Source organism: Homo sapiens, chromosome 22 (genome assembly GCF_000001405.40).
Source record: "Homo sapiens chromosome 22, GRCh38.p14 Primary Assembly".
In the NCBI taxonomy this organism is placed as follows: domain Eukaryota; kingdom Metazoa; phylum Chordata; class Mammalia; order Primates; family Hominidae; genus Homo; species Homo sapiens.
The window spans coordinates 29554808-29582155 of record NC_000022.11 but is presented as its reverse complement, the minus strand read 5'-3'; the positions used below and the strand labels follow the sequence as shown (position 1 = coordinate 29582155).

The following is a 27348-nucleotide window of genomic DNA, read 5'->3' as shown; positions in this document are numbered from 1 at the left end:
GCAGGTAGTGGCCACAGATTCTAAACCTCCCCAGTTGCTCCTAGGGATAACATCACTACTGTAAAACCTAAGATTGGTGCTCAAGATATTTTTCCGATCCTGCACTCAATGGATCCGCTGGCGATACACAGATTAAGAAACCGGATCATCCGGTTTTGTGGCCCCCACCCAGAGATCCACTCAGCACAAGAGGACGGCTTCCACTCCCTATGATTGCATCTCCGACCTGACCAATCAGCACTCTCCACTCTCTGGCCCCTACCCACCAAATTATCCTTAATAAAACCCAGTCTCCGAATTTTCAGGGAGACTGATTTGAGTAATAATAAAACTCCGGTCTCCCATTCAGCCGGCTCTGCATGAATTAAACTCTTATTGCAATTCCTCTGTCTTGATAAATCCGCTGTCTGGGAAACGGGCAAAATGAACCCATGGGGTGGTTACACTGACCCTCTGCTGCACATCCCGGACAGCCTTGTTAAGAACCCTTGGTAGGCTGGGCATGGTGGCTCACGCCTGTAATCCCAGCACTTTGGGAGCACGAGGCAGGCAGATCACGAGGTCAGGAGATCGAGACCATCCTGGCTAACACGGTGAAACCCCGTTTCTACTAAAAATACAAAAAATTAGCTGGGCGTGGTGGCAGACGCCTGTAGTTCCAGCTACTCGGGAGGCTGAGGCAGGAGAATGGCGTGAACCCAGGAGGCGGAGCTTGCAGTGGGCCGAGATCGCGCCACTGCGCTCCAGCCTGGGCGACAGAGCGAGACTCCGTCTCAAAAAAAAAAAAAAAAAAAAAAAGAACCCTTGGTATTATTGTTCCACGCTCCCATTTTACCGAGGTGGATCCTGAGGCCCAGAGTGGGCAAAGGGCTTGCCAAGGTCGCAGAGCGCGCAGAGGATTAGAACCCTGACTTCCGTCCAGCACCTGCGGAGTTGGAGACGCCCACAGGAAACGCCCACCTGACCGGGTGAGTGAGGGGGCGGGCGAGCCGGAGGGGTGGAGTTTATTCGCGCCCCGCCTCCGCCACCAGGGCTTGGGGGCGGGGCCTTCCTGCAACCTTTGCGGCTCCAACATGGCTCCGCGGCTGTGCAGCATCTCTGTGACGGCGCGGCGGCTGCTGGGGGGCCCGGGGCCTCGCGCTGGGGACGTTGCGTCTGCAGCTGCGGCGCGGTGAGAGCCCGGCCAGGCAGGGATAGACGCGCGCGGGGTGGGGTGCAGGCGCGGGGGCCAGGGACTGGGTCGTGGGGGAGGGGCTGAGACTCCTCGCTTGGAATCTGGGGGTTAGAGGCGGGGCAGGATCAAGGCCTAGGGAGGGGTCTGGGCAAAGAATGGGGGAGGTGAGAAAGGGATGGGTAGGGTCTTTGTCCTGGTTGGGACCGGGCTGTGATGGGGACCTGATGAAAGATGGTGAGAAGGGCAGGTACTGGGCCCTGGAGAGTGGGAGAGGGCAGAAGACAGGAGGAGTGGCCCATTCCCAGGCGTAGCTTGTGATTTAACACCCACTGGGGGCTTCTGGTAGTCAGCTCCTCCGTCGGGAAGTTCTGTGGGAAAGAGATGATGGCAGGGGAGCAGTGGGGGATCCCCAGGGGCCATGGCTGCACAGACCCTTTGTTCCTCCACCTCGAACTGTACAGGTGGGGAAACGGACCTGAGAGGGAATGGGAGTTGTCCAAGGTCACCCTCCCTGCTGTGCCGTGGCAGCACCAGGTCTGGGACCCAGGCCTGCCAATGCGCCATGCACTTTGCACCCAACTGGTGGCCTCCTGGGAGTGGGAGTCTGGCTGGGCCATGTGCTCTCAGCCTGGGCTTTTGTTTGGGCCCTGCTCTGGGCTGAGCTAGGGCTTGGCCTCCCTGACTGGCCCTGGGCAGCCCCTCACTCCTTGGTCCCCACAGCCCTGTACTTCCCCCATCTCTGCATATATGACCCTGCACAGTTATGACTTGGTGCTTGTCTGTCTCTCTCACTAGACCATGATCTCATTTTTCTCTGTTTCCCCAGCCTCCCACCCTCAGAGGGCTCAGGACTGTGTATGGTCAAGGAATATTTACCAAAGAAGTGAGGCCACCTGTTCCCCCTCCCCCAACCTGTGAAAAGGAAGCAACCATCCCTCCTGCCCTGCAGCCCAGGAATGAAGCTGCAAAGTTCTGATAGTGCCTGCCATGAGATGTTACAGCACAGAGCAGTGGGGCTTTTGGACAGCTGGGAAAGAGGAGTGGCATAAGCGCCCCACCTAGACTGCCCAATAATTAGGGATAAAGCTGACACCGTGGGAAAAGCCTAGAGTTTGCCTGGCACTAACAGATCTAACTCAGACTTTGTAGGTGGGGTGACCTCAGGACTCTTTAAGCCTCGGGTTCCTCATCTGTAAAATGGGAGTAATCAGGATGTATCTCATAGGGTTGTTGAGGATTAAAGATGCTGTGGTTGGTCGGGTATGGTGGCTCATGCCTGTAATCCCAGCACTTTGGGAGGCCGAGGCAGGCAGATCACTTGAGGTCAGCAGTTCAAGACCAGCTTGGCAACACGGCGAGATCCTGTCTCTATAAAAAGTACAAAAATGGCCGGGCGCGGTGGCTCACGCCTGTAATCCCAGCACTTTGGGAGGCCGAGGCGGTGGATCACGAGGTCAGGAGATCGAGACCATCCTGGCTAACACGGTGAAACCCCATCTCTACTAAAAATACAAAAAATTAGCTGGGCGCGGTGGCAGGCGCCTGTAGTCCCAGCTACTCAGGAGGCTGAGGCAGGAGAATGGCGTGAACCCAGGAGGCGGAGCTTGCAGTGAGCCGAGATCCTGCCACTGCACTCCAGCCTGGGCGACAAGAGTGAGACTCTGTCTCAAAAAAAAAAAAAAAAAAAAAAAAGTACAAAAATTTCACCATGTTGGTGAAAACGTGTCTCTACTAAAAATACAATTAGCTGGGTGTGATGGCTCACCCCTGTAATCCCAGCTACTAGGAAGCTGAGGCAGGAGAATCAATTGAACCCGGGAGACAGAGGTTGCAGTGAGCCGAGATCACGCTACTGCACTCCAACCCGGGTGACAGAGCGAGACTCCGTCTACAAAAAAAAAAGATTCCGTGGTTGTGAAGTGTCTAGCACTTGACGAACATGCAGTAAGTGTTGCTCCTTAACCCCTAGCCTATGTTTCAAGCAATTTCTGCATGTGACCCACATAATGTTGAGGCTCAAAGGGCTCTGGGAAGATCATCTTTTATGAGCCCTTTGTTTTCCAGATAAAAATATCAAGATTGGGGAAGGGACAGAATGGATTGGTGGTAAAACCATTTGTGTGGCAAACACCCAGAGGCTGTAAAAGGAGCATGGGTCTCAGAGTCAGCCTGCTGCCCCTCACTCAGTGACCCTGGATGAGTTGCTGAACCTCCGTCAGCCTCAGTTTCCTTTTCTGTAAAGTGGGGATGTTGGTGTTTTCGGCAGGATTGCTATGAAGCCACTTGAATTAATGTTTATCAAGTCCCTCAAGGACTGTCTTGCAGTTACTTATACCTTAATTCCACATTGGATACCTGAGAACACTCTGTCCTGCTGCCCCTCAGGCTGCCCCATATCTCTCCAGAGTCACTAGTAGGGCCAGCAGCAGCCCTTCTGGCCTGTGAGGTTTGGGGGCAATGAGGCTGCTGGGGTGGGGATGGAGTGTGGGCTTTGAAATCAGATGGACCTGGGCCAGGCACCATTGCTCACGCCTGTAATCCCAACACTTCGGTAGGCCAAGGTGGGAGGATTGCTTGAACCCAGGAGTTTGAGACCAGCCTGGGCAACATGGCGAGATCCTGTCTCTATAAAAAATACAAAAATTTGGCCAGGCACAGTGGGTCATGCCTGTAATCCCAGCACTTTAGGAGGCTGAGGCGGGTGGATCACCTGAGGCCAGGAGTTCAAGACCAGCTTGGCCAACATGGTGAAACCCCATCTCTACTAAAAACACAAAAATTAGCCAGGCCAGGCCTGGTGACTCCCACCTGTAATCCTAGCACTTTGGGAGGCCCAGGCAGGCGGATCATGAGGTCAGGTATTCAAGACCAGCCTGGCCAACATGGTGAAACCCCGTCTTTATTAAAAATACAAAAATTAGCTGGGCATGGTGTGTGCGCCTGTAATCCCAGCTACTCTGGAGGCTGAGGCAGGAGAATCGCTTAAACCAGGGAGGTGGAGGTTGCAGTGAGCTGAGATCGCACCAGTGCACTCCAGCCTGGGTGATAGAGCAAGACTCTGTCTCAAAAAAAAAAAAAAAAAAAAATTAGGCATGGTGGTGTGTTCCTGTATTCCCAGCTATTCTGGAGGCTGAGGCAGGAGAATCGCTTGAACTGGGGAGCTGGAGGTTGCAGTGAGCCAAGATCGCGCCACTGCACTCCAGCCTGGGCAACAGAGGGAGACTCCGTATCAAAAAAACAAAACAAAACAAAACAAAACAAAAAAACATGCCGGGTGCGTTGGCTCACACCTGTAATCCCAGCACTTTGGGAGGCCGAGGCGGGCAGATCACCTGAGGTCAGGAGTTCGACCTGGCCAACGTGGTGAAACCCTGTCTCTACTAAAAATACAAAAATTAGTTGGGCGTGGTGGCAGATGCCTGTAATCCCAGCTACTTGGGAGACTGAGACAGGAGAATCACTTGAACCCAGGGGGCGGAGGTTGCAGTGAGCTGAGATCGTACCATTGCACTCCAGCCTGGGGAACAAGAGCGAGACTTCGTCTCAAGAAAAAAAAAAAAAATTAGCCAGGCATGGTGACACATGTCTATAGTCCCAACTACTCCGGAGGCTGAGGCAGGAGAATCCCTTGAACCTGGGAGGTGGAAGTTGCAGTGAGCCGAGATCGTGCCATTGCACTCCAGCCTGGGCAACAGAGTAAGACTCCATCTCAAACAACAACAAAAATTAGCCAGACGTGGTGGTGCTCACCTGTGGTCTCAGCTACTTGGGAGGCTGAAGTGGGAGGATCATTTGAGTCTGGGAGATAGAGGATGCAGTGAGCCATGATTGTGTCACTGCACTCCAGCCTGGGTGACAGAGTGAGACCCTGTCTCGAAAAAAGAAAAAAAAAATAGAAGAAAAAAGAAAGATGAAGCTGAGCTAGGATCAAAACCTGGATTTGTCCAGAGCTTGTGCTCATAAGCACTAGTTCTGCTGTTGGTGTTAAGGATGGAAAGGACCCCTGATCCCTGAGTGAAGTCACTCTGGGTCAAGGTCTACCTTTTTTTTTTTTTTTGAGACGGAGTCTCATTCTGTCAGCCAGGCTGGAGTGCAGTGGCGCGATTTCGGCTCACTGCAACCTCTGCCCTCTGAGTTCAAGCGATTCTCCTGCCTCAGCCTCCCAAGTAGCTGGGATTACAGGCGCCTGCCACCGCACCCAGCTAATTTTTTGTATTTTTAGTACAGACGGGGTTTCACCATCTTGGCCAGGCTGGTCTTGAACTCCTGACCTTGTGATCCACCCGCCTCGGCTTCCCAAAGTGCTGGGATTACAGGCGTGAGCCACCACGCCCAGCCTAAGGTCTACCATTTCTTTTGTTTCATACTTTTCAGCTTTCATCATTTTCATGCAAGAATGTCTTAGCTCCTCTTTCATTCATTTCTCAAACTTGGACTGCATTCTCACCATGTGCCCAGCACTGCTCCAAGCATAGGGGATACAGCAGGGATACAACAGAACAGACAAGGATTCTGCCCCGCTAGGGCTGCCTCCAGTTTAGAGACTGACAATAAACAAAGCACATAATAAGCCAAAAAGTATAGTGTTTTTTTTTGTTTTTAATTTTTAGTAGAGATGAGGTCTTGCTATGTTTCCCAGGCTGGTCTCAAACTCCTGGGTTCGGCCGGGCATGGTGGATCATGCCTGTAATCCCATCACTTTGGGAGGCCAAGTCAGGCAGATCACTTGAGGTCAGGAGTTCGAGACCAGCCTGACCAACATGGTGAAACCCCGTCTCTACTAAAACATACAAAAATTAGCCGGGTGTGGTAGCACGCACCTGTAGTCCCAGCTACTCGGGAGGCTGAGGCAAGAGAATCGCTTGAACCCAGGAGGTGGAGGTTGCAGTGAGCTGAGATTACGCCACTGCACTCCAGCCTGGGCAACAGAGTGAAACTCCATCTCAAAAAAATACAAAAAAAAAAAAAGGCCAAGTGTGGTAGCTCATGTCTGTAATCCCAGCACTTTGGGAGGCTGAGGCAGGAGGATCACCTGAGGTCAAGAGTTCGAGACCAGCCTGGCTAACATGGTGAAAACCCATCTCTACTAAAAATAAAAAATTAGCTGGATGTGGTGGCACATGCCTGTAGTCCCAGCTACTTGAGAGGCTGAGGCTGGAGAATTGCTTGAACCTGGGAGGCGGAGGTTGCAGTGAGCCCAGATCACGCCACTGCACTACAGCCTGGACGACAGACTGAGACTCCATCTCAAACAAAACAAAAAAAAAAAAACAACTCCTGGGTTCAAGCAATCCTTCCCTCTTGCGTCAGCCTCCCAAAGTGCTGGGATTATAGGCATGAGCCACTGGGCTAATCCTAGTATAGCGTTTTAGAACGTGCTCTGGAACAAGATAGAGAGCAGGAAGAGAGGGCTTGGGGAGGTCAAGGGTAGGAGAACATTGTAATTTCACTGAGAAAGTGACATTTGTACTCTTGCAGATGTACCCTTGGGGATGCTGGCTTGGAGTTCAAACCCTCCTCTGAGATCTTTGACAAGCTCCTTCTTGGATTTTACCTGTAGAAAACAGCTTTAGGGATGGGCTCCACCACCCTGCTCATTTGACAGATGGGGAAACTGAGGCCCACAGGCAGGAAGGATTAGAGTAGTGGGAAGAGACGGGAGCCCATCAGAGCTCCTGAAGTTTCCAGTGTTCCAGCCCCTAATCTCTTTCTTCAGGGCTGGCTATTTGACTGATATTTATCTTGGTCAGTGCTGATGTTAATAAATTACTCTGTCTAGTCCTTTCTAGAGCAAAGGTCTTGGTTGATAAATAGTAGGAGCTGCTCTCCTCACTGCCCATCTCCCTCCAGGGGAAGCAGCCCCTCTACATTAAAACCAAAGGTCAGGTCCCTCAGTGCCCAACCTGAGGTGGGGATTGGCTTTCAAGGAAAGAGCGCTGGGTTCTTAACTCTGCCCTCTGATTTTCTGTGCGGCCTTGGGCAAGTCCCTTAAACTCTCTGGGCTTCTTTCCATTTTATCCTCGCGAGAATGGGAATACTAATAGTACCAATACTATAAGATCATTGCATAGAATCAGTGAGATCCTGCAACTGAAAAGTACATCACAGATCCCTGGCTTAGAGCCTCCCTTATTCTGGTCCAAAAACTTCACAGACCGCACTACCCATCTAATGATAATTGTCTTTTTTTTTTTTTTTTTTTGAGACAGAGTTTCGCTCTTGTAGCCCAGTCTGGAGTGCAATGGCACGATCTCAGCTCACTGCAACCTCCGCCTCCCGGGTTCAAGTGATTCTCCTGCCTCAGCCTCCCGAGTAGCTGGGATTACAGGATTGCACCACCATGCCCAGCTAATTTTTGTATTTTTAGTAGAGACTGAGTTTCACCATGTTGGCCAGGCTAGCCTCAAACTCCTGACCTCAGGCAATCCGCCCGCCTCGGCCTCCCAAAGTGCTGGGATTACAGGCATGAGCCACCGCACCAGGCTGATAATTGTCTTTTTGCTAATGAAGCAGATGCATGTACAATGATCGAGAGAGTTCATGAATTCAGAAATGCTTAACACACTTTAAAATCTTTATAAAAAATTACAATGAATAAAGAAAAATTTAGCCATCTCCTATTCCTCTTTCCCAGGTAAGCAGTATTAACAGTTTGGGACAAGTAATTTATTTTCTTTTCTTTTTCTTTCTTTTTTTTTTTTTTTTTTTTTTTTTTTTTTTGTGAAGATGGAGTCTCACTCTGTCATCCAGGCTGGCGTGCAGTGGCGTGATCTTGGCTCACTGCAGCCTCCGCCTCCTGGATTCAAGCAGTTCTGCCTCAGTCTCTCGAGTAGCTGGGACTACAGGCACACATCACCACTCCTGGCTAATATTTTGTATCTTTTTTTAAGTGGAAATGGGGTTTTGCCATGTTGCCCAGGCTAGTCGTGAACTCCTGAGCTCCAGCAATCTGCCCGCCTCAGCCTCCCAAAATGCTAGGATTACAGGCATGAGCCACCATGCCCAGCCTCTTTTTTTGTTTTGTTTTGTTTTGTTTTGTTTTTTGAGACAGGGTCTGCTCTGTTGCCCAGGCTGGAGTGCAGTGGCCCGATCTCAGCTTGCTGCAACCTACGCCTCCTGGGTTCAAGCGATCTTCCCACCTCAGCCTCCTGAGTAGCTGGGACTACAGGCGCACTTGACACTCGACCACACCTGGCTAATTTTTTTTTTTTTTGAGACAGAGTTTCACTCTTGTTGCCCAGGCTGGAGTGCAATGGCCTGATCTCGGCTTACTACAACCTCCACCTCCTGGGTTCAAGCAATTCTCCTGCCCCAGCCTCCTGAGTAGCTGGGATTACAGGCATGCACCACCACGCCTGGCTAATTTTGTATTTTTAGTAGAGATGGGGTTTCTCCATGTTGGTCAGGCTGGTCTCAAACTCCCGACCTCAGGTAATCCACCCGCCTTGGCCTCCTAAAGTGTTGGGATTACAGGCGTGAGCCACCGTACCCAGCAATTTTTTTATTTATTGCAGAGACAGGGCTTCAGACTCCTGAGCTCAAGTGATCCGCCTGCCTCGGCCTCCCAGAGTGCTGGAATTATAGGCGTGAGCCACCATGCCCGGCCCATTTCTCATTTTTATGCTTATACAAACATATCACCACTTTGGCCCAGCGCAGTGGCTCATGCTTGTAATCCTAGCACTTTGAGAGGCCGAGGCAGGTGGATCATGAGGTCGAGAGATCGAGACCATCCTGGCCAACATAGTAAAACCCCGTCTCTACTAAAAATACAAAAATTAGCTGGGCGTGGTGGCACACGTCTGTAGTCCCAGCTACTTGGGAGGCTGAGGCAGGAGAATCACTTGAACCCGGGAGGTGGAGGTTGCAGTGAGTGGAGATCATACCACTTTACTCCAGCCTGGCGACAGAGCAAGACTCCATCTCAAATACAAACAAATGAACAAAACAAAACAAACATATCACCACTTTAAGATTATTTTTAAAAAGAAATTTTTTTTTTTTTTGAGACATGGTCTCTGTCACCCAGGCTGGAGTGCAGTGGCCTGATCATAGTTCATTGTAGCCTTGATTTCCTGGGCTTCATGCGATCCTCCTAAGTCTCTCAAGTGGCTGAGACTACAGGCATGTGTCACCACACCCGGCTAATTATTGTATTTTATTTTATTTTATTTTATTTTTTTGAGATAGAGTCTCACTCTGTTGCCCAAGCTGGAGTACAGTGGCAAGATCTTGGCTCACTGCAGCCTCAACCTCCCAGGCTCAAGTGATCCTACCACCTCAGCCTCCCAAGTAGTGGGACTACAGGCACATACCGTCATGCCCAGCTAATTTTATTTTTTGTAGAGACACGGTCTCACAAGTTTCCCCAGGCTTGTCTCATGGCCTCAAGCAATCCTCCTGCCTCAGCCTCCCAAAGTGCTGGGATTACAGGCATAAGCCAGTCATATTTATTATTTTTTTTGTAGAGATGGAGTCTCATTTTGTTGCCCAGGCTGATCTTGAACTCCTGGGCTCAAGTGATCCTCTGACCTCAGCCTCCCAAAGTACTGGGATTACAGGCATTTAGCCATCGTGCCCAGCTGATTTTATCCGTCCCAATGGCTGCTCCATATTTTGGAAAAAATTGATTGATTTTTTATTTGCAAGACATTTGTCCTTTTTTTTTTTTTTTTTTTTGAGATGGATTCTCGCTCTGTTGCCCAGGCGGGAGTGTGATGGTGCGATCTTGGCTCACTGCAACCTCTGCCTCTCAGGTTCAAGCAATTCTCCTGCCTCATGCTCCTGAGTAGCTGGGATTACAGGTGCACACCACCACGCCTGGCTGATTTTTGTATTTTTAGTAGAGACAGGGTTTCGCCATGCTGGGCAGGCTGGTCTCGAACTCCTGACCTCAGGTGATCTGCCTGCCTTGGCCTCCCAAAGTGCTGGGATTGCAGGCGTGAGCCATCACACCCAGCCTAAGACATTTGTCTAACCACATAAAAGTCTTAAAAAGGGATAGGGCAGCCGAGTATTTGTATTGTAAAAATACGAAAATTACCTGGATGTGGTGGTACGCGCCTGTAATCTCAGCTACTCAGGAGGCTGAGGCAGGAAAATTGCTTGAACCCGGGAGGCCGAGGTTGCAGTGAGCCGAGATCGCACCACTGCACTCCAGCCTGAGCAACAAGAGCAAGACTCTGTCTCAAAAAAAAAGAAAAGAAAAAAAGAAAAGAAAGGATAGGGCTTCCTGTGACCTCACTTGGAAAAAACAAAAGAGAAAAAAGAAAAAAGGGATAAGGCTTGCTGCCACTCAGGGATCCCTCTTGCCAGGCTCCCTGGCTAGGAATTGTCTCCATTGGGAGACTTCCTTTTCAGGCCTGGCTGCAAGCTGCACCAAGGCTGTGGAGCGGGAAGATTGGTAGTCTCAAAATAAGCACCCCTGCCTCCTGCTGGGACCTTGGGTATGTGTTTAGGATGGGAGTGCAGTTCTGGTCCAGTAGGAGCTGGCAGCAGACCCTCCACTGCCCTTAACCACAGTGCTCATGGGCAAAGCACATAATCATATTCATTGATCATTCATTCATTCATTCTCAGTATCCTATGGAGATGGGCAGAGCAGGTGTTGGCTGGATGAGTGAATGCATCTTGCTTTGCAGTGCCTTTTACTCCCTCTATCTGCCAAACCAGTCCTGGGGACTGACCAGCTCATCTCCTCCTCTGTAGAGAGTCTGCCCAGGTTGCCAGAAGCAGAGTTAAGGCTAGTTCACCTGGGCTCTTCCAGAGACCCCTCCTATAATTGTGTCCCAAGGCCCATTTCTCCTAGTGGACTATGAGCTCCTCAAGGACAAAGCTTATTTGTATTTGGCTTTCCATGTGTGGGGTCAGGGTGGGGACATGGGCCAAGTGCACTGTGAGAGTGCTGGGGAGGACGGTGAGAGCAGTCTTCTCGTTAGAGGGGACAGAACTTGTACAGAAAGCACAGAGTAGCAGATCCTGGTGTGTTCAGGGAAGAGCACACCTGGAGAGTGAGGTGTACAGGTGAGGGGGCAGGAGGGGAGGCTGACAAGTTAGGTTGGGTTGTCAAGGGCTTTGGGCATGATGCAAGGTGGATTTGGGGTTGATCCTCTTGGCGAGAGGCTGGAGTTATATGACCCAAGTAGAGGACCTCTTGGAAGGGGGATGAAGTGGAGGCAGGGAGGCTAGAGAGAGAAGTGGGAGGTGGGGCTGCCTCTCCTGGCGTCCTGAGGCTCTGCAAAGCTTCAAGAAGCCAACTGGGCAGCTGGAATATCTGTAGAAAGGAGCTGGCTCCAATAGCATTTCACAGTCTGGAGCTGCCACAGGACTCCGTGGCCCTGTTCCCAGAAATGTGGGTCACTGGTCTAGGGGAGCAGGACATCCAAGTGGATGGAATTGCTGGGGCTCCCCCAACCTCCGCGCGTCCCCCTCAACTCCTCTGTCCTGCAGTTTCTATTCCAAGGACAATGAAGGCAGCTGGTTCCGCTCCCTCTTTGTTCACAAAGTGGATCCCCGGAAGGATGCCCACTCCACCCTGCTGTCCAAGAAGGAAACCAGCAACCTCTATAAGATCCAGTGTGAGTGGCTGCTGAGCTGACCAATTTCTGCCCTTTCAGGGGCTCTGGGGGCCTGTGAGGCTCCAGGAAGGAGATGGGAGGGTCTGGAATGTCCTCAGCTGTCCTGGGACCCCTGGCCTTGATGGGCTCCCCTCACCCCAAGTTCTTCCCTGTGTACACACCCTACCTCACTTCTTGTTCTCTGTCCTCTGTTGCAGTTCACAATGTAAAGCCTGAATACCTGGATGCCTACAACAGCCTCACGTGAGCACCCTGCATCCATACATCCCATCCCCTGCTTGGGTGGGGAACACACTTTCAGCAAATTTGCGGAACATCCTCCACCCTGTTCTTTTCTGTAGAAATCCAGGAGATGTAGATTTCTTTTATTTCTGCCTTTTTCTTTCTTTCTTTCTTTCTCTCTTTCTTTTTTTTTGAGATGGAGTTTTGCTCTCGTTGCCCAGGCTGGAGTGCAATGGCGCGATCTCGGCTCACTGCAACCTCTGCCTCCCAGGTACAAGCGATTCTCCTGTTCCAGCCTCCCAAGTAGCTCGGATTACAGGCATGCGCCGCTAAGCATGGCTAATTTTTTTGTATTTAGTAGAGACAGGGTTTCACCATGTTAGTCCGGCTGGTCGCAAACTCCTGACCTCAGGTGATCCACCTGCCTCGGCCTCCGAGTGCTGGGATTACAGGCATGTGCCACTGCGTTTGGCCCCATTTTCTTTCTTTCTTTTTTTTTTTTTTAAGAGATGGTCTCCAGGAGGCGGAGGTTCCAGTGAGCCGAGATTGCGCCATTGCACTCCAGCCTGGGCAACAAGAGCAAAACTCTGTCTCACACACAAAAAAGAGAGATGGGATCTCACTTTGCTTCCCAGGCTGGTCTCAAACTACTGGGCTCAAGCAATCCTCCTGCCTCAGCCTCCCAGTGTTGGGATTACAGGTGTGAGCCACTGTGCCCAGCCAGGATGTAAATTTCAGTGTCGGAAGTCCTGAGGGCCTCTTGCCTAGCTTCTGCATTTTAGAGATGGAGAGTCTGAGGCCCAGCCCCAGGGTCTGTTTGAACTGAGTTTGAACCCTTATCTCAGAGGCCCTGGTGGCTATGTGAACCCTGCCCCTCTCTGCACCTCCCCCACAGGGAGGCTGTGCTGCCCAAGCTTCACCTGGATGAGGACTACCCATGCTCACTCGTGGGCAACTGGAACACGTGGTATGGGGAGCAGGACCAGGCAGGTAAGGCGCTCACCTCCCTAGTGCCATTGCCACTGCCCAGCCCTGGCCTCCAGCACCTTTCACACCTGGCTGTTCTCCACTCCCTCTCCACAACAGCACCTGGTGGGGCTCTTACTAAAACCTCATCACCTCACTCCCCTGCTCAAATACCTGTCCTGGCTCCCCTGTGCCCTCAAGGTGACCCGTGAAGCCTGTGACTCCTTCCCGGCCCTGCCCCCAGCCTCATGGCACCAAATCCTCCATGCCTCGCTGTGCTGTCCCACCCAGGACTCAGTTCCTCAGATTGACAGTTTCACTCTTTAGTTCCAGACTACTGCTCATTCTCTTTCTTCTGCCTTAAGCATTATTTCTTGTTTGCCTGCTTTACCTGGATCACTGTCTTTTATTCTTTTTTTTTCCGAGACTGAGTTTCACTCTTGTTGCCCCAGGCTGGAGTGCAGTAGTGCAATCTCGGCTCACTGCAACCTCCGCCTCCCCAGTTTAAGCAATTCTCTTGTCTCAGCCTCCTGAGTAGCTGGGATTACAGGCATGTGCCACCACGCCCAGCTAATTTTGTATTTTTAGTAGAGACGGGATTTCACCATGTTGGTCAGGCTGGTCTTGAACTCCTGATCTCAGGTGATCCACCTGCCTCAGCCTCCCAAAGTGCTGGGATTACAGGTGTGAGCCACCGCACCCGGCCTTTTTTTTTTTTTTCTTTTTTCTTTTTTGAGACAGGGTCTCGCTCTGTCACCCAGGCTGGCAGATAGTGGCACAGTCTTGGCTGACTGCAACCTCCACCTCCTGAGTTGAAGATATTCTCCTGCCTCAGCTTCCCGAGTAGCTGGGATTACTGGCCTGTGCCACCAGGCCTGGCTAATTTTGTATCTTTAGTAGAGATGGGGTTTCACATGTTGGTCAGGCTGGTCTCGAACTTCTGACCTCAGGTGATCCACCTGCCTCGGCCTCCCAAAGTGCTGGGATTACAGGAGTGAGCCACCACTCCCGGCCTTTTTTTTTTTTTTTTTTTTTTTTGAGACAGGGTCTTGCTCTGTCACACAGGCTGGAGTGCAGTGGCATAATCTTGGCTCACTCGAGCCTCAATTTCCCAGGCTCAAGCAGTACTCCCACCTCAGCTTCCTGAGTAGCTGGGACTATAGGTGCGCTCCACCATGCTCGGCTAATTTTTGTGTTTTTTGGTAGAGACGGGGTTTCTCCATGTTGCCCAGGCTGGTCTTGAATTCCTGAACTCAAATGATCCTACCTCCTCGGCCTCCCAAAGTGCTAGGATTGTAGACATGAGCCACCGTGCCTGGCCTTTCAGTTTTATTCATTTTTAAATTTTCATTTATTTATTTATTTTTGAAACCAGGTCTTGTTACCCAGTGGGGAGTGCAGTGGTGTGATCACAGCTCACACAGCCTTAACCTCCTGAGCTTAAGCAATCCTCCTACCTCAGCCTCCTGAGTAGCTGGGACCACAGGTGCATGCCACAATGCCCAACTAATTTATTTTAAATTTTTTGTAGAGACGGGATCTCCCTATGTTACCCAGGGTGGTCTCAAACTCCCGGGCTCAAGCGATCCTTCCACTTTGGCCTCCCAAAGTGCTGGGAGTACAGGCATGAGCCACAGTGCCTGGACTATTCACTTTTCTATTTTGGCATAGATGTCACCTCCTCCTGGAAGGCTGCCGAGATTTCCTCCACGCGGGCTGGGTCAGGCACCTTCCTTAGCTCTCCAGGCCTCAGTAATTACCTCCTCACGCCCTGATCATGTACCCCTATAGCTGCCTGTTTAGTTGTCTGTCTCCATATATGGGTGAATCCCCAATATGCAGCACATATTTGTGGAATAAATAGGAGTTCTTCTTGTCTGAGCTGGTGTCTTACAGTCCCAGGGGCACCCCTAGCATGCCCCATCCCAGCCTAATAGACACATCAAAGTTGGCACCAGCTATAAGAACCCACACATGAATTTGGCTGACTCACAGCATCTCAGCCACTCAAAGGGACCTCAAATTCAGACCCACACTGTCCAAAATGATAGCCACTAACCACATGTAGTTATTTATTTATTTATTTTTTTGAGATGGAGCCTCGCTCTGTACTGTCACCCAGGCTGGGGTACAGTGGTGCAATCTTGGCTCACTGCAACCTCTGCCTCCTGGGTTCAAGTGATTCTCCTGCCTCAGCCTCCTGAGTAGCTGAGGTTACAGGCGTGTGCCACCACACTTGGCTAATTTTTGTATTTTTAGTAGAAACAGGGTTTCACCATGTTGGTCAGGCTGGTCTTGAACTCCTGACCTCATGATCCTCCCGCCTGAGCCTCCCAAAGTGTTGGGATTACAGGCATCAGCCACTGCGCCTGGCCTATTTATTTATTTTTTTGAGACAGCGTCTCACTCTGGTTTCCCAGGCTGGACTGCAGTGGTGCAATCACAGCTCACTGCACCCTTGACCTCCCGGGCTCAGATGATTCTCTCACCTCAGCCTCCCAAGTAGCTGGAACTACAGGTGTGCACCACCACAGCCAGCTAATTTTTTATATTTTTAGTAGAGACAGGGTTTCGCTATGTTGCCCAGGCTGGTCTTGAACTCCTGGACTCAAGCAATCCGTCAGCCTTGGCCTCCTGGACTACTGAGATTACAGGTGTGAGCCACTGCGCCCTGGCCTCACATGTAGCTATTGAAATTTATATTAGTTAAAATTACATAAAATTTAAAGTTCAAGCTGTGTGCCAAGGTGCTCACCTGTAGTCCTAGCTACTTGGGAGGCTGAGTTGGGAGGACTGCTTGAGCCCAGGAGTTCGAGGCCGTGATTGAATACCATCACACCTATGAATAGCCACTGCACTCCAGCCTGGGCAACACAGTGAGGACCCTGTCTCTAAAAAAGAAAAAATTCAGGACTGAATATGGTGGCTTATGCTTATAATCCCAGCAGATTAGGAGGCTGAGGTGGGAGGAACACTTGAGGCCAGGAGTTTGAAACCAGCCTGGGCAACATAGTGAGACTTTGCTTCTATAAAGAAAATACATATTAAAAAAAAAAGAAGAAAAGATTTTAAAAAGAAAAAATTCAGTTTCTTAGTCATACTAGCTACATTTCAAATGCTCACTCATATACACACAGGCTCATGCAGAAAGTACTTTTGGACAGTACTGGTTTAGAGTGTCTGCATAGCACAGCCATAACAGATGGTCCTCTAAACTTCCCTTGAACACTCCTAGCCATGAAGAGTTCACTTGTAAGCCAATCTATTTCATCCTTTGACAGCCCTGATAATCGTGTCTTTGAAAATAATCTGTGACCTGCAGATAGATAGGTGTATCTCCTTAATCAATTATTTGGTTTCCGTAACAGACATTAACATATTATTTATGTTTTATTTTTATTATTTCCATTTAGAAACAGGGTCTCACTATATTGCCCAGGCTGGAGTTGAATTTCTGGGCTCGGGCAATCCTCCTGAGTAGCTGGGACTACAGGCGTGTGCCATCATACCTGGCTAGACACTGATATGTGGCTAAGGGAATAAGAGAAAAGCAAATTGCCTTCAGTTTCAGCCACTACAGCTTTCCCATTTTAAGCTTGACTTGATCAGCTCCAGCAGTATTCCTTGAATTCTCTTAAGCATTTGCTAGTTGTGAAATGAACTCTGAGGGATGGGATCCTGACTTTTTCTTTTTTTTCTTTTTCGAGACCGAGTCTCACTCTGTTGCCCAGGCTGGAGTGCAGTGGCGTGATCTCAGCTCACTGCAACCTCTGCCTCCCGGATTCAAGCAAGTTCTCTTGCCTCAGGCTCCCGAGTAGCTGGGACTACAAGTATGAACCACCATGCCTGGCTAATTTTTGTATTTTTAGTAGAGATGGAGTTTCACCATCTTGGCCAGGCTGGTCTCGAACTCCTGACCACAGTTGATCCACCTGCCTCGGCCTCCCAAAGTGCTGGGATTAAAGGCGTGAGCCACTGCCCCTGGCCTTTTTCTTCTTTTTATTTTTCTGTTTGGGACAGGGTCTCGCTCTGTCACCCAGTTTGGAGTGCAGTGGCATGATCATAGTTCACTGTAACCTTGAACTCCTAGGCTCAGGCGATCCTCTCACCTCAACTTCTCGAGTAGCTGGGACCACAGACATGCACCACCATGCCTGGGCTAGTTGTTTTGTTTTGTTTGTTTGTTTGTTTTGTAGAGATGAGGTCTTGCTATGTTGCCCAGGCTGATCTCAGACTCCTGAGCTCAAGTGCTCCTCTCCTGCCTCAGCCTCCCAGAGTGTTGGGATTACAGGCCTGAGCCACTGCGCCTGGCTGATCCTGACTTTTTAAAGCATACCCTACATTTTTTGTACCTTGAAGTTCAGTCCCTCACATAGTCAGCTGAATCATGTTGAGCTGTACGCTGGGAGTAGGGTTCAAGAATCTACATTTTAATAAACTTGTAAGAACCATTGATCCATCTCCTATGGAGAGCACCACAGTTGTTAGACAATTCCTTCTTCTTGGCTGGGCGCGGTGGCTCATGCCTGTATCCCAGCACTTTGGGAGGCTGAGGCAGGTGCATCACCTGAGGTCAGGAGTTCAAGACCAGCCTGGCTAACAAGGTGAAACCCTGTCTCTACTAAAAATACAAAAATTAGCTGGGCGTGGTGGCATGCGCCTGTAATCCCAGCTACTTGGGAGGCATAGGCAGGACAGTCTCTTAAATCCAGGAGGTGGATGTTGCAGTGAGCTGAGATCACGCCACCGCACTCCAGCCTGGGTGACAGAAAAATAAAGAAAATTCCTTCCTCTTGCCAATGATGCTGTCCTTGTAACTTTTCTCCGTTAATCCGTTTTCCACAGGTCATTCCTGGTTTTGGTAGATTTCTATCCATACAGTACTTTTGCCATTTCCTTTGGGAAAAAGACCTTTAAACCATAGGGTCAGGCCATTTTGCAGATGGGAAAATCAAGGCACAGATGGAGTCAAAAAACAGGTGAAGGTCAGGCTGGGGATGGGGATGGGAAGTTACAGAGTCTGAGTTTCTAGACTGCTGGCAGCCAGCTGCCCTTAGCTCTAGCTTGCCTGTGTGATCCCCTGGGGACCTTCCTCCGCTGATGGGCCCAGCCATGCTCCCAGGATGGCAAAACTGTTCCTTTCTTCTCCTCCACAATTAATTAGGTTTCTTTGTTACTAGGAATTAGATTAGTTTCCTGGGGTGGCCAGCATACCGCAAACTGGGTGGCTTAAAATAACAGAGGTTTATCCTGTCACAGTTCTGGAGGCTGGAAGTCACAAATCAAGGTGTTGACAGGGCTGTCCTTCCTCCTAAGGCCTTAGGGGAGAACCCTTCCTTGCCTCTTCCAGTTTCTGGGGATTGCTGGAAACTCTTAGTGTTCCTTGGCTTGTAGACTTGTCATTCTAATCTCTGCCTCCCTCGTCACATGCTGTTCTCTCTGTGTGTCTCTGTCTTCACATAGTGTTCTCCTGTGTCCAGATCTCCCACTTCTGATAAGGACACTAGTCACTGGACTCAGGGCTCACCTAGTATAATCTCATCTTAGGTCGATTATACCCACAGAGACCTATTTCCAAATAAGGTCACATTCTGAGGTTCTGGGTGGGCATAAATTTTGAGGGGACATTGTTCAACTCAGTGCAGATAATATGATTTTTATTTATTTTTATTTTTATTTATTTATTTTTTGAGACGGAGTCTTGCTCTTTTGCCCAGGCTGGAGTGCAGTGGTGCGATCTCAGCTCACCACAACCTTTGCATCCCAGGTTGAAGCGATTCTCTTGCCTCAGCCTCCTGAGTAGCTAGGATTACAGATGTGCATCACCACGCCCAGCTAATTTTTGTTTTAGTAGAGATGGGGTTTCGCCAAGTTGGTGAGGCTGGTCTCAAATTTCCGACTTCAGATGATCCACCTGCCTCAGCCTCCCAAAGTTGATTATTTATTTACTTGAGACGGAGTCTCACCCTGCCACCCAGGCTGGAGTACACTGGCACAATCTTGACTCACTGCAACCTCTACCTCCTGGGTTCAAGCGATTCTCCTGCCTCAGCCTCCCGAGTAACTGGGATTATAGGCATGTGCCACCACACCCAACTAATTTTTTTTTTTTTTTTTTAAGATGGAGTCTCGCTCTGTTGTCCAGGCTGGAGTGCAGTGGCATGATCTCGGCTCACTGCAAGCTCTGCCTCCTGGGTTCATGCCATTCTCCTGCTTCAGCCTCCCGAGTAGCTGGGACTATAGGTGCCCGCCACCACGCCTGGCTAATTTTTTGTATTTTTAGTAGAGACGGGGTTTCACTGTGTTAGCCAGGATGGTCTCGATCTCCTGACCTCGTGATCCACCTTCCTCAGCCTCCCAAAGTGCTGGGATTACAGGCGTGAGCCACCGTGCCCGGCCCAGGATTTTTATAAATTCTAACAGTACAAAGAGTTTTCCATGCAAAGTAAGCTTCCCTCCTGCCCGAGGCCCCACAGGCCTCCATTCTGTGTCCCAGGGGCATCTACTGTCAATCTCTTTTTTTTTGAGACGGAGTTTCGCTCTTGTTGCCCAGGTTGGAGTGCGATGGCACAATCTTGGCTCACCGCCACCTCTGCCTCCCAGGTTCAAGTGATTCTCCTGCCTCAGCCTCCCAAGTAGCTGGGATTACAGGCATGCGCCACCACACCTGGCTAATTTTGTATTTTTAGTAGAGATGGGGTTTTTCCATGTTGGTCAGGCTGGTCTCCACCCACCTCAGCCCCGCAAAATGCTGGGATTACAGGTGTGAGCCACTGCGCCTGGTCTACTGTCAATCTCTTAAGTCGCCATTAAGAGGTGATGCATAAATTAGCATCTCTGGATGTCCTTGCCACCTCAACACATGAGGTAGCATACCACACATCCTCTTCTGTTCCTTGGTTCCTTTTTTCAATTCACTGTCTTGGAATGTTCCATATCAGCCCATCAGTTCTCCCCTGTTCTTTTGTTCAGCTGCCCCTCTAAGGCCTGGTGGTCTTCCTTATGCATGCCACTGCTTCCAGGGTACAGGACACATCTGATCTTCTTGTTGCTATTTAAGGAAGGTGGGGTGGGAACATTATTCCCATTTTCAAGATGAGAACATTGAGGCCTAGAGCAGTCCAAGGCTGCTGGGCAGAGCTGGAGCTCAAATCCAGGTCTCCTAGACTTGTGTCTAGGGTCATCCCCTCCCCAGCATGGTCTTCCACCAAGGCAGAGGGAACTCAGGGAGTCTTGCTGCTACAGGGAACCAGGCCACCCCGCCTCCCCCGTCCCCACCACTTAGCCAACCTTGAGGAGGTCATCTGCTGGGGGTCCCAGCAGCTCACTGACCTATACCTCTCACCCCCAACAGTGCACCTGTGGCGATTCTCAGGTGGCTACCCAGCCCTCATGGACTGCATGAACAAGCTCAAAAACAATAAGGTATGTTAGTGTCCACTCAGCACACCTCTCTGGATGTGGGATGCAGCCCAGCCCTGTTCTGGGGACTACTCTGCTACCCCATGAGGCACACTGTCAGGATGGAGCGCACTTCCTGGTAGCCATGCCTTTACCACCATGCCCACAGGAGTACCTGGAGTTCCGAAGGGAGCGGAGCCAGATGCTGCTGTCCAGGAGAAACCAGCTGCTCCTCGAGTTCAGCTTCTGGAATGAGCCACAGCCCAGAATGGGTCCCAACATCTATGAGCTGAGGACATACAAGCTCAAGGTGCCTCCCTCCGACAGACCCCCTCCTGCCCCCCAATTTCCCTGCTGCAATGCTGCTTTGCAGCTGCCCCAACACCTAGACTGGGGCTTCTGGCTTCTCCCTCCCTATGGGCTCAGAGCAGAGTTGTATACACATGTGTGCAAACATGCACACCAGGTGTGTGTCAGGGCCTGCGAATGAGGCCAAATGGCCGCTGCAGCTTGGGAGGTGGGGAGACAGGGCAGTTTCCCTTCCTTGCCAAGCTGTGATGCTATGAATCTGAGGTGGGGGCTCATTCCCATCATCCCTTTGGTTCTCTTTCAGCCAGGAACCATGATCGAGTGGGGGAACAACTGGTAAGTGGCAGCACCAAGACTGGGGTTGGGGGAGGCGTACCCTGCTCACCTGCCCCACCAAGGCCCCTGGTGGGCCACCTTTTCCAGGGCCATATCACAGGGAACTCTTTACCTTCTGCCCCTCATGGATCTGGGAGAAGGATCCAGCCAGGAGGTGAGGATCTCCTAGAAGGTTGTGACCCCTCCGTTGGTAGAACACCCCGCCATCAGTCCTTTCTCTCAGCATCCCGGAGGACCGTGGGTTCCACCTAGGCCCCTCCTGTGAAGTGTGGCCAAGGAATCAGCCTCAGTACCCTCTGCACCAGCCCTGGCTTCTGCCCCATATTATTGTGCCTTCTCCAGGGCTCGGGCCATCAAGTACCGGCAGGAGAACCAGGAGGCAGTGGGCGGCTTCTTCTCACAGATAGGAGAGCTCTACGTGGTGCACCATCTCTGGGGTAGGTTGAGGACCTTCCAGGAGCCTTTTGTTAGTTCTCTTTCTCTGTCATCACTCTCTGTAGCCAATGGGGTTGTATTAGTGTCCTCATAGAACTTAATGTTCTAGCAGGAGACACTATCTTAGATGTAAAGTCACAAAAAGATCAATTTCAGATTACAAATAATATTTATAGAAAATAGGCAAGGAGTCTGGGAGCGGTGGCTCAAGTGTATAATCACGACACTTTGGGAGGCCGAGGTGGGCAAATCACAAGGTCAAGAGATCGAGACCATCCTGGCCAATATGGTGAAACCCCATCTCTACTAAAAATACAAAAATTAGCTGGGCGTGGTGGCGCATGCCTGTAGTCCCAGATACTCGGGAGGATGAGGCAGGAGAATCAGTTGAACCCGGGAGGTGGAGGTTGCAGTGAGCTGAGATCACGCCATTGCACTCCAGCCTGGCAACAGAGCGAGACTCCGTCTCAAAAAAAAAGAAGAAAAAAAAAAAAGGCAGGGAGAGATGATGGTGAAAAACATAGGGGATCTACATTGGTCTAGGTAGACAAATAATGCCTCTCTGAGGAAGTAAAATGTAAGCTGAGAGCTAAAGGATGAGAAGGAGCCAGCTGTGAATTGCTAGGCAAAAGCATTCCAAGTAGACAGAGCAGCACATGCAAAGGCCCTGTGGTGGGGAAAGGCCTTCGGGGTTTTGAGGTGTGGCAAGGAGGCCAGTGTGGAGTGAGTAGGGAAGAATGTGGGGAGATGGAACAGGAGAGGGGGAATGAGTTGGGATTTATTGTAAATGCAATGAGAGACTATTTGTTTCAAATAGCAGTGACACGACCTGATTTTTGTTCTAGTATGATTTCTCTGGCTGCTGTCTGCTTTGTTAAGAGTGCTTGGTAGGCGAGCAAGAGAGAAAGCAGGGCTTCAGGAAGCCATTACTCTAGTTCAGGCAGGAGGGGATGGGGCAGTGGGATGCTGAGAAGTCCACAGAAGATTTGTTAGTCTAGAGGTGGAACCAACAGGACTTGTGGATGAATTGTCTGTGTGGGGCAAGAGAAGGAGAAGGGCATTCCAGAAGAGCTCCCAGGCTCGTGCTTGAGCTGCTGTGTGTCATCTCCTGAGTCTGGGAGGTCTAGGGAAGGAGCAAGTCAGTGGGGTCAGGAGCGTAATTTTGGCCCTTGGAATTGTTACTTTTTTTTTTTTTCTTTGAGACACAGTCTTGCTCTGTCACCTAGGCTGGAGTGCAGTAGTGTGATCTCAGCTCACTGCAACCTCCGCTTCCCAAGTTCAAGTGATTCTCGTGCCTCACGCTCCTGAGTAGCTGGGATTACAGGCATGCAGTACCATGCCCAACTAATTTTTCTATTTTTAGTACAGAGTTTCGCTATGTTGGCCAGACTGGCCTCGAACTCCTGGCCTCAAGCAGTCCACCAGCCTCGGCCTCCCAAAGTGCTGGGATTATAGGCATGAGCCACCGCACCTAGCCGGAAGTGTTAACACTAAAAATGCTGACACACCAAAGTAGAGATGTCAAGTAGGCAGTAGATGGATATAGGAGTCTGGAGCCCTTGGGAGTGTTTGCGACTAGAAATATAAATGTAGGCAATATTAACATATGTACTGATTGGATGGATGATTAAAGCAGACAGTGTTTGCTAATAGTCTGAGGGAGGCATCTAGGGAGGAGGAGACAGCAGTGCAGGGTTTAGGGGACAGTGGGAAGAGGGCCCTGTGCTGGGTAAGGGATCCAGTCCTCTGTGCCTGAGGAATGAGCCTGTGCCTTTCTCACAGCCTATAAAGACCTGCAGTCTCGGGAGGAGACTCGAAACGCTGCCTGGAGGAAGAGAGGCTGGGATGAAAATGTCTACTATACAGGTGAGTGAAGCCTTTGGAGGTCTTCTGCTGAGAACCCTGTCTGAGGATGGAATCCTCTCTGCAAGGAGATCTAGTCTTTCTTGATTACCTCCAGTGATGGGGAACTCACTTTTAAGACAATGAGTTAATGGGTTTCTATCCAAGTGGCACACTCCATAGGATACCAGCAGGCCTAGGTGAGTACTCTAGGGGATGATAACATAGCCAGGGCCACGCCTCTGCCTAGGAGATGTGGATTAGCAAACGCCCATTGTGACCTTGGGCACGGTTCTTTACCTCGCTGAGGCTGTTCCCTCGTCTGTAAGATAGTGATGGTGATAGTGCTTCTGTCAGAGGGCTATAACGGAAGATTCTACAAACTATTTTATTATTTTATATTTTATTTTATTTTATTTATTTTTGAGACACAGTCTCACTCTGTCACCCAGGGTGGAGTGCAGTGGCATGATCTTGGCTCACTGTAGCCTCCGCCTCCCAGGTTCAAGCCATTCTCCTGCCTCAGCCTCCCGAGTAGCTGGGATTACAGGCGTGTGTCACCATGTCCAGCTAATTTTGTATTTTTAGTAGAGACGGGGTTTTATCATGTTGGCCAAGCTGGTCTCGAACTCCTGACCTCAGGTGATCCGCCTGCCTCGGCCTCCCAAAGTGCTGTGATTACAGGCATGAGCCACCACATCTGGCCCACAAACTCATTTATGAAAAGTGCTTTCTCCAGTGTCTGTCACAAAGGAAGCATGCAGGAAATGTTTTTGAATAAGGTTTTTGTTTTTGTAGAGATGCAGTCTTACTATGTCACCCAGGCAGGTCTCAAACTCCTGGGCTCAAGCAGTCCTCCCACCTCAGCCTTCCAAAGTGCTGGGATCATAGGCATGAGCTACTGTGCCCAGCCTTGAACAAGTTTTTTGCTCAAGGTGTTTGCCACTTTGCTAGGAACCTGAAACCACCTAGAGTCAGTGGGTGTTAATTAAGCCCTCACTGTGTGCCGGGAACTGTGGTAGGTAGGTGGTTGAGGGGCACATAAATGAACAAGAGCCTGTCCTTGCCATTGAGAAGTTTACAGTGATCACTTACCAGGTGGTATGAGGGAGAATGTGTCTGCTGAAGGAGTTAGCAGGAGCCTTGCTATTCAGTGTGGTCCCAGCTGGGTATGGTGGCTCACAACTGAAATCCTAGTACTTTGGGAGGCCAAGGCAAGAGGATCACTTGAGGTCAGTAGTTTAAGACCAGCCTGGGCAACATAGGGAGACCCCATCTCTACAAAACATTTTTTAAAAATTAGCAGGACGTGGTGTTTCCCATCTGTAGTCCCAGCTACTTGGAAGGCTGAGGTGGGAGGATCACTTGATCCCAGGAGTTTGAGGCTGCAGGGAGCCATGATTGTGCCATTGCACTCCAGCCTGGGCAACAGTGAGACCCTATCTCAAAAATAAAAAATAAAAATAATAAAAAACAAGACAAGCACAGTGGCTTACACCTGTAATCCCAGCACTATGAAGTTGAGGTATGTGGATCAATTGAGGCCAGGAGTTGGAGACCAGTCTCGGCAACATGGTGAAACCTCGTCTCTACTAAAAATAAAAAAAATTAGCCAGGCATGGTAACTCAAGCCTGTAATCCCAGCTACTCGGGAGGCTGAGGCACAAGAATCACTTGAACCCAGGAGGCGGAGGTTGCATTGAGCCGAGAACCTGCCACTGCACTCCAGCCTGGAAGACAGAGTGAGACCCTGTCTCAAAAAAAACAAAAAACAAAAAAAATCAAGTGTGGTCCCAACTGACAGTATTGGCATCCCCTGGGAGCTTGTTAAGAATGACAAATCTCGGCTGGGCGCAGTGGCTCACGCCTGTCATCCCAGCACTTTGGGAGGCTGAGGTGGGCAGATCACCTGAGGTCAGGAGTTCAAGACCAGCCTGACCAACATGGAGAAACCCTGTCTCTACTAAAAATACAAAATTAGCCAGGCATAGTGGCACATGCCTGTAATCCCAGCTACTCGGGAGGCTGAGGCAGGAGAATCGCTTGAAACCGGAAGGCAGAGGTTGCAGTGAGCCGAGATAGTGCCATTGCACTCCAGCCTGGGCAACAAGAGTGAAATTCCATCTCAAACAAAGAAACAAACAAGAATAACAAATCGCAGGCTTCCTGCAACCTACCAAATCAGAATCTGCACATTAACAAGAACTGCCAAGTGATTTGTATGCACATTAAAGTTTGAAAAGCTCTGAGCTGGAGGAAAGAGTCTAACCTCCTGGATGACCTGGAGCTGACCTTCTCTAGGCTGCACCCTCTCTATCTGTAAAACGAGGCAGTTGGTCTAAATCAGTGTTTTTCTTTTCTTTTTTTTTGAGACGGAGTTTTGCTCTTGTTGCCCAGGCTGGAGTGCAATGGCCTGATCTCGGCTCACAGCAACCTCTGACTCCCGGGTTCAAGCGATTCTCCTGCCTCAGCCTCCCGAGTAGCTAGGATTACAAGCATGTGCCACTACGCCCGGCTAATTTTGTATTTTTAGTAGAGAGAGGGTTTCTCCATGTTGGTCAGGCTAGTCTCGAACTCCTGACCTCAGGTGATCCGCCTGTCTTGGCCTCTCTAAGTGCTGGGATTATAGGCACAAGCCACCATGCCTGGCCAACAGATAACTATTAAAATTTAAGAAAATGTTATTCTCATCACCACCAAAGTCCTGTCTTATCCCATAATTTGAGGGATCTGGTGCTCTTCATGGGCCCTTCCACGAGGGCAATGGGACATTCCTGTCGCAGCATCTGGGGCCTCCTCCTGCCCACTCAAAGGCCAGCATGTGTGGGTGGGGCCAGGGGAGGTTGTTGGCTTGCTTGAGCCCCCTGTGTGACCTCTGCCTTCTCTCTCCGCAGTCCCCCTGGTGCGACACATGGAGTCTAGGATCATGATCCCCTTGAAGATCTCGCCTCTGCAGTGATGCTGCCTACACCTCCACCTCCTTCCCCTTCTCCCTCAGGCAACCCCGACAGACAGTGGCACTCCTGGTCCTGCTGTCTTGGTTTTGTCTTGGCTCTGGGAGGACTCTGAGGGGCAGTGCTCAGTTCAGACAAGGGGGAACTGAAGGCTGACAAGTTCTGAGGATTACAGCTCTGCCCAGGCCCTTTCTACTTTCCCTGCCTGCCTCCCTCCCCCTGCTAGAAGTAGTTTCTGATTTCCCTGAATGAAAGATAGTGATCTTTTAGGCCTTCATTTATCTTCTAAAATTCCTCATCTCAAGGCCACCAGTCCCCAGTTATCACCCTTGGAAATCCTCTGTTTAGCTTAGTTGCACAAAAGGTAGTATGTCCAGTGGCTAGAGGTGGGGTGGGAAGAGAGGAGGCCAGGCCAGGCCCTCAGGAATTCCCTGGTTTCCACTGGGCCACCCACTTGCTGGACAGTCTGAGCCAAGTCCCTCCTGCTGGAGAAAAGCCTGGAACTGCCAAAACAAAAAAACAAATACAAACAAACCTCGTCACCACGGTCAGGAGGAGGTTCAGACATTCTGCCCAGAGGGGCTGGGGAAAGGGATGGGAGCCAGGAAAGATTTAGGGGCAGGAGACAGACACGTAACAGGAACTCGGAAGGTAGAACTTAGAATTCAGAACTTGGGTTTCAATTGTAGAATTTGGAATCTGGAATACAGAATTGGGAAGAAGAACAGAGATGACAAAAGACCACTTGAAGAGAGGTTCCTAATACTAGACAGATGGAGAGTGGCTTGGCTGTTTCCCCCTGCATATTGGGGTTGAAAACTTAAATGTGTAGTTCCAGTCCTTCTATGCAGAGTCTCTCCTGCCCTCCCTCCTTCCTGCAGGCAAATATACAAGCTAGACCCTGTTCCCTCACCCTGTATCCTGTCTCCCCTAATTGACATTCTATCAGCCCAACCCTCATTCTGCAGGGCCACCTGGTGTGTGGAGGTGGCGGGAGGGGTCAGTGACTCTGGGGGTCTCCTCAGTGACCCCCATACCTCATCATGAACCCTTGGGTAGCTTGATTCTGCCTACCATCCAGGAAAACTTGTGCTGGAATTGCTGATGGAAACAATTAAATATTTACTATAAA

At 50.2% G+C, this 27348-nt stretch overlaps 1 protein-coding gene across 2 annotated transcripts, besides 4 other annotated features; it reads left to right on the top strand.

Moving 5' to 3' along the window:
• The first annotated feature begins 1042 nt into the window (after positions 1-1042).
• NIPSNAP1 (nipsnap homolog 1) lies at positions 1043-27348 on the top strand. Of its 2 annotated transcripts, none has more exons than NM_001202502.2 (10): positions 1043-1111; positions 11624-11751; positions 11949-11994; positions 12869-12963; positions 20294-20364; positions 20510-20650; positions 20954-20985; positions 21328-21422; positions 23203-23286; positions 26157-27348. In NM_001202502.2, the coding sequence occupies exons 1-10, from the start codon at positions 1074-1076 to the stop codon at positions 26219-26221; spliced, it is 795 nt and encodes a 264-aa protein (NP_001189431.1). In that variant the 5' UTR covers positions 1043-1073; the 3' UTR covers positions 26222-27348. The 2 variants fall into 2 exon arrangements, with proteins under 2 accessions (NP_001189431.1, NP_003625.2); NM_003634.4 differs by having other exon boundaries at positions 1043-1171.
• Positions 1237-1286: a silencer, noted in NCBI's record as "silent region_13593". NCBI's record gives its function as "represses an Ori minimal core promoter by ATAC-STARR-seq in GM12878 lymphoblastoid cells {active_cell/tissue: GM12878}" and the evidence as "EXISTENCE:reporter gene assay evidence [ECO:0000049][PMID:35858748]".
• Positions 1270-1882: an enhancer, noted in NCBI's record as "H3K27ac-H3K4me1 hESC enhancer chr22:29976263-29976875 (GRCh37/hg19 assembly coordinates)". NCBI's record gives its function as "activates a minimal SCP1, AML or CMV promoter by ChIP-STARR-seq in primed H9 embryonic stem cells {active_cell/tissue: H9 hESC(primed)}" and the evidence as "EXISTENCE:reporter gene assay evidence [ECO:0000049][PMID:30033119]".
• Positions 10922-11216: a silencer, noted in NCBI's record as "tiled region #10387; K562 Repressive non-DNase unmatched - State 7:EnhWF". NCBI's record gives its function as "represses a minimal TATA promoter and a strong SV40 promoter by Sharpr-MPRA in K562 cells {active_cell/tissue: K562}" and the evidence as "EXISTENCE:reporter gene assay evidence [ECO:0000049][PMID:27701403]".
• Positions 12682-12976: an enhancer, noted in NCBI's record as "tiled region #2653; HepG2 Activating DNase matched - State 5:Enh, and K562 Activating DNase unmatched - State 5:Enh". NCBI's record gives its function as "activates a minimal TATA promoter and a strong SV40 promoter by Sharpr-MPRA in HepG2 and K562 cells {active_cell/tissue: HepG2 | K562}" and the evidence as "EXISTENCE:reporter gene assay evidence [ECO:0000049][PMID:27701403]".

Coding starts and splice junctions, on each gene's coding strand:
- NIPSNAP1 (NM_003634.4), top strand. CDS start 1,074: ATGGCTCCGCGGCTGTGCAGCATCTCTGTGACGGCGCGGCGGCTGCTG. Junction 11,995..12,868: donor GATGCCTACAACAGCCTCAC/GTGAGCACCCTG, acceptor CCTCCCCCACAG/GGAGGCTGTGCTGCCCAAGC. Junction 20,651..20,953: donor TGAGGACATACAAGCTCAAG/GTGCCTCCCTCC, acceptor GTTCTCTTTCAG/CCAGGAACCATGATCGAGTG.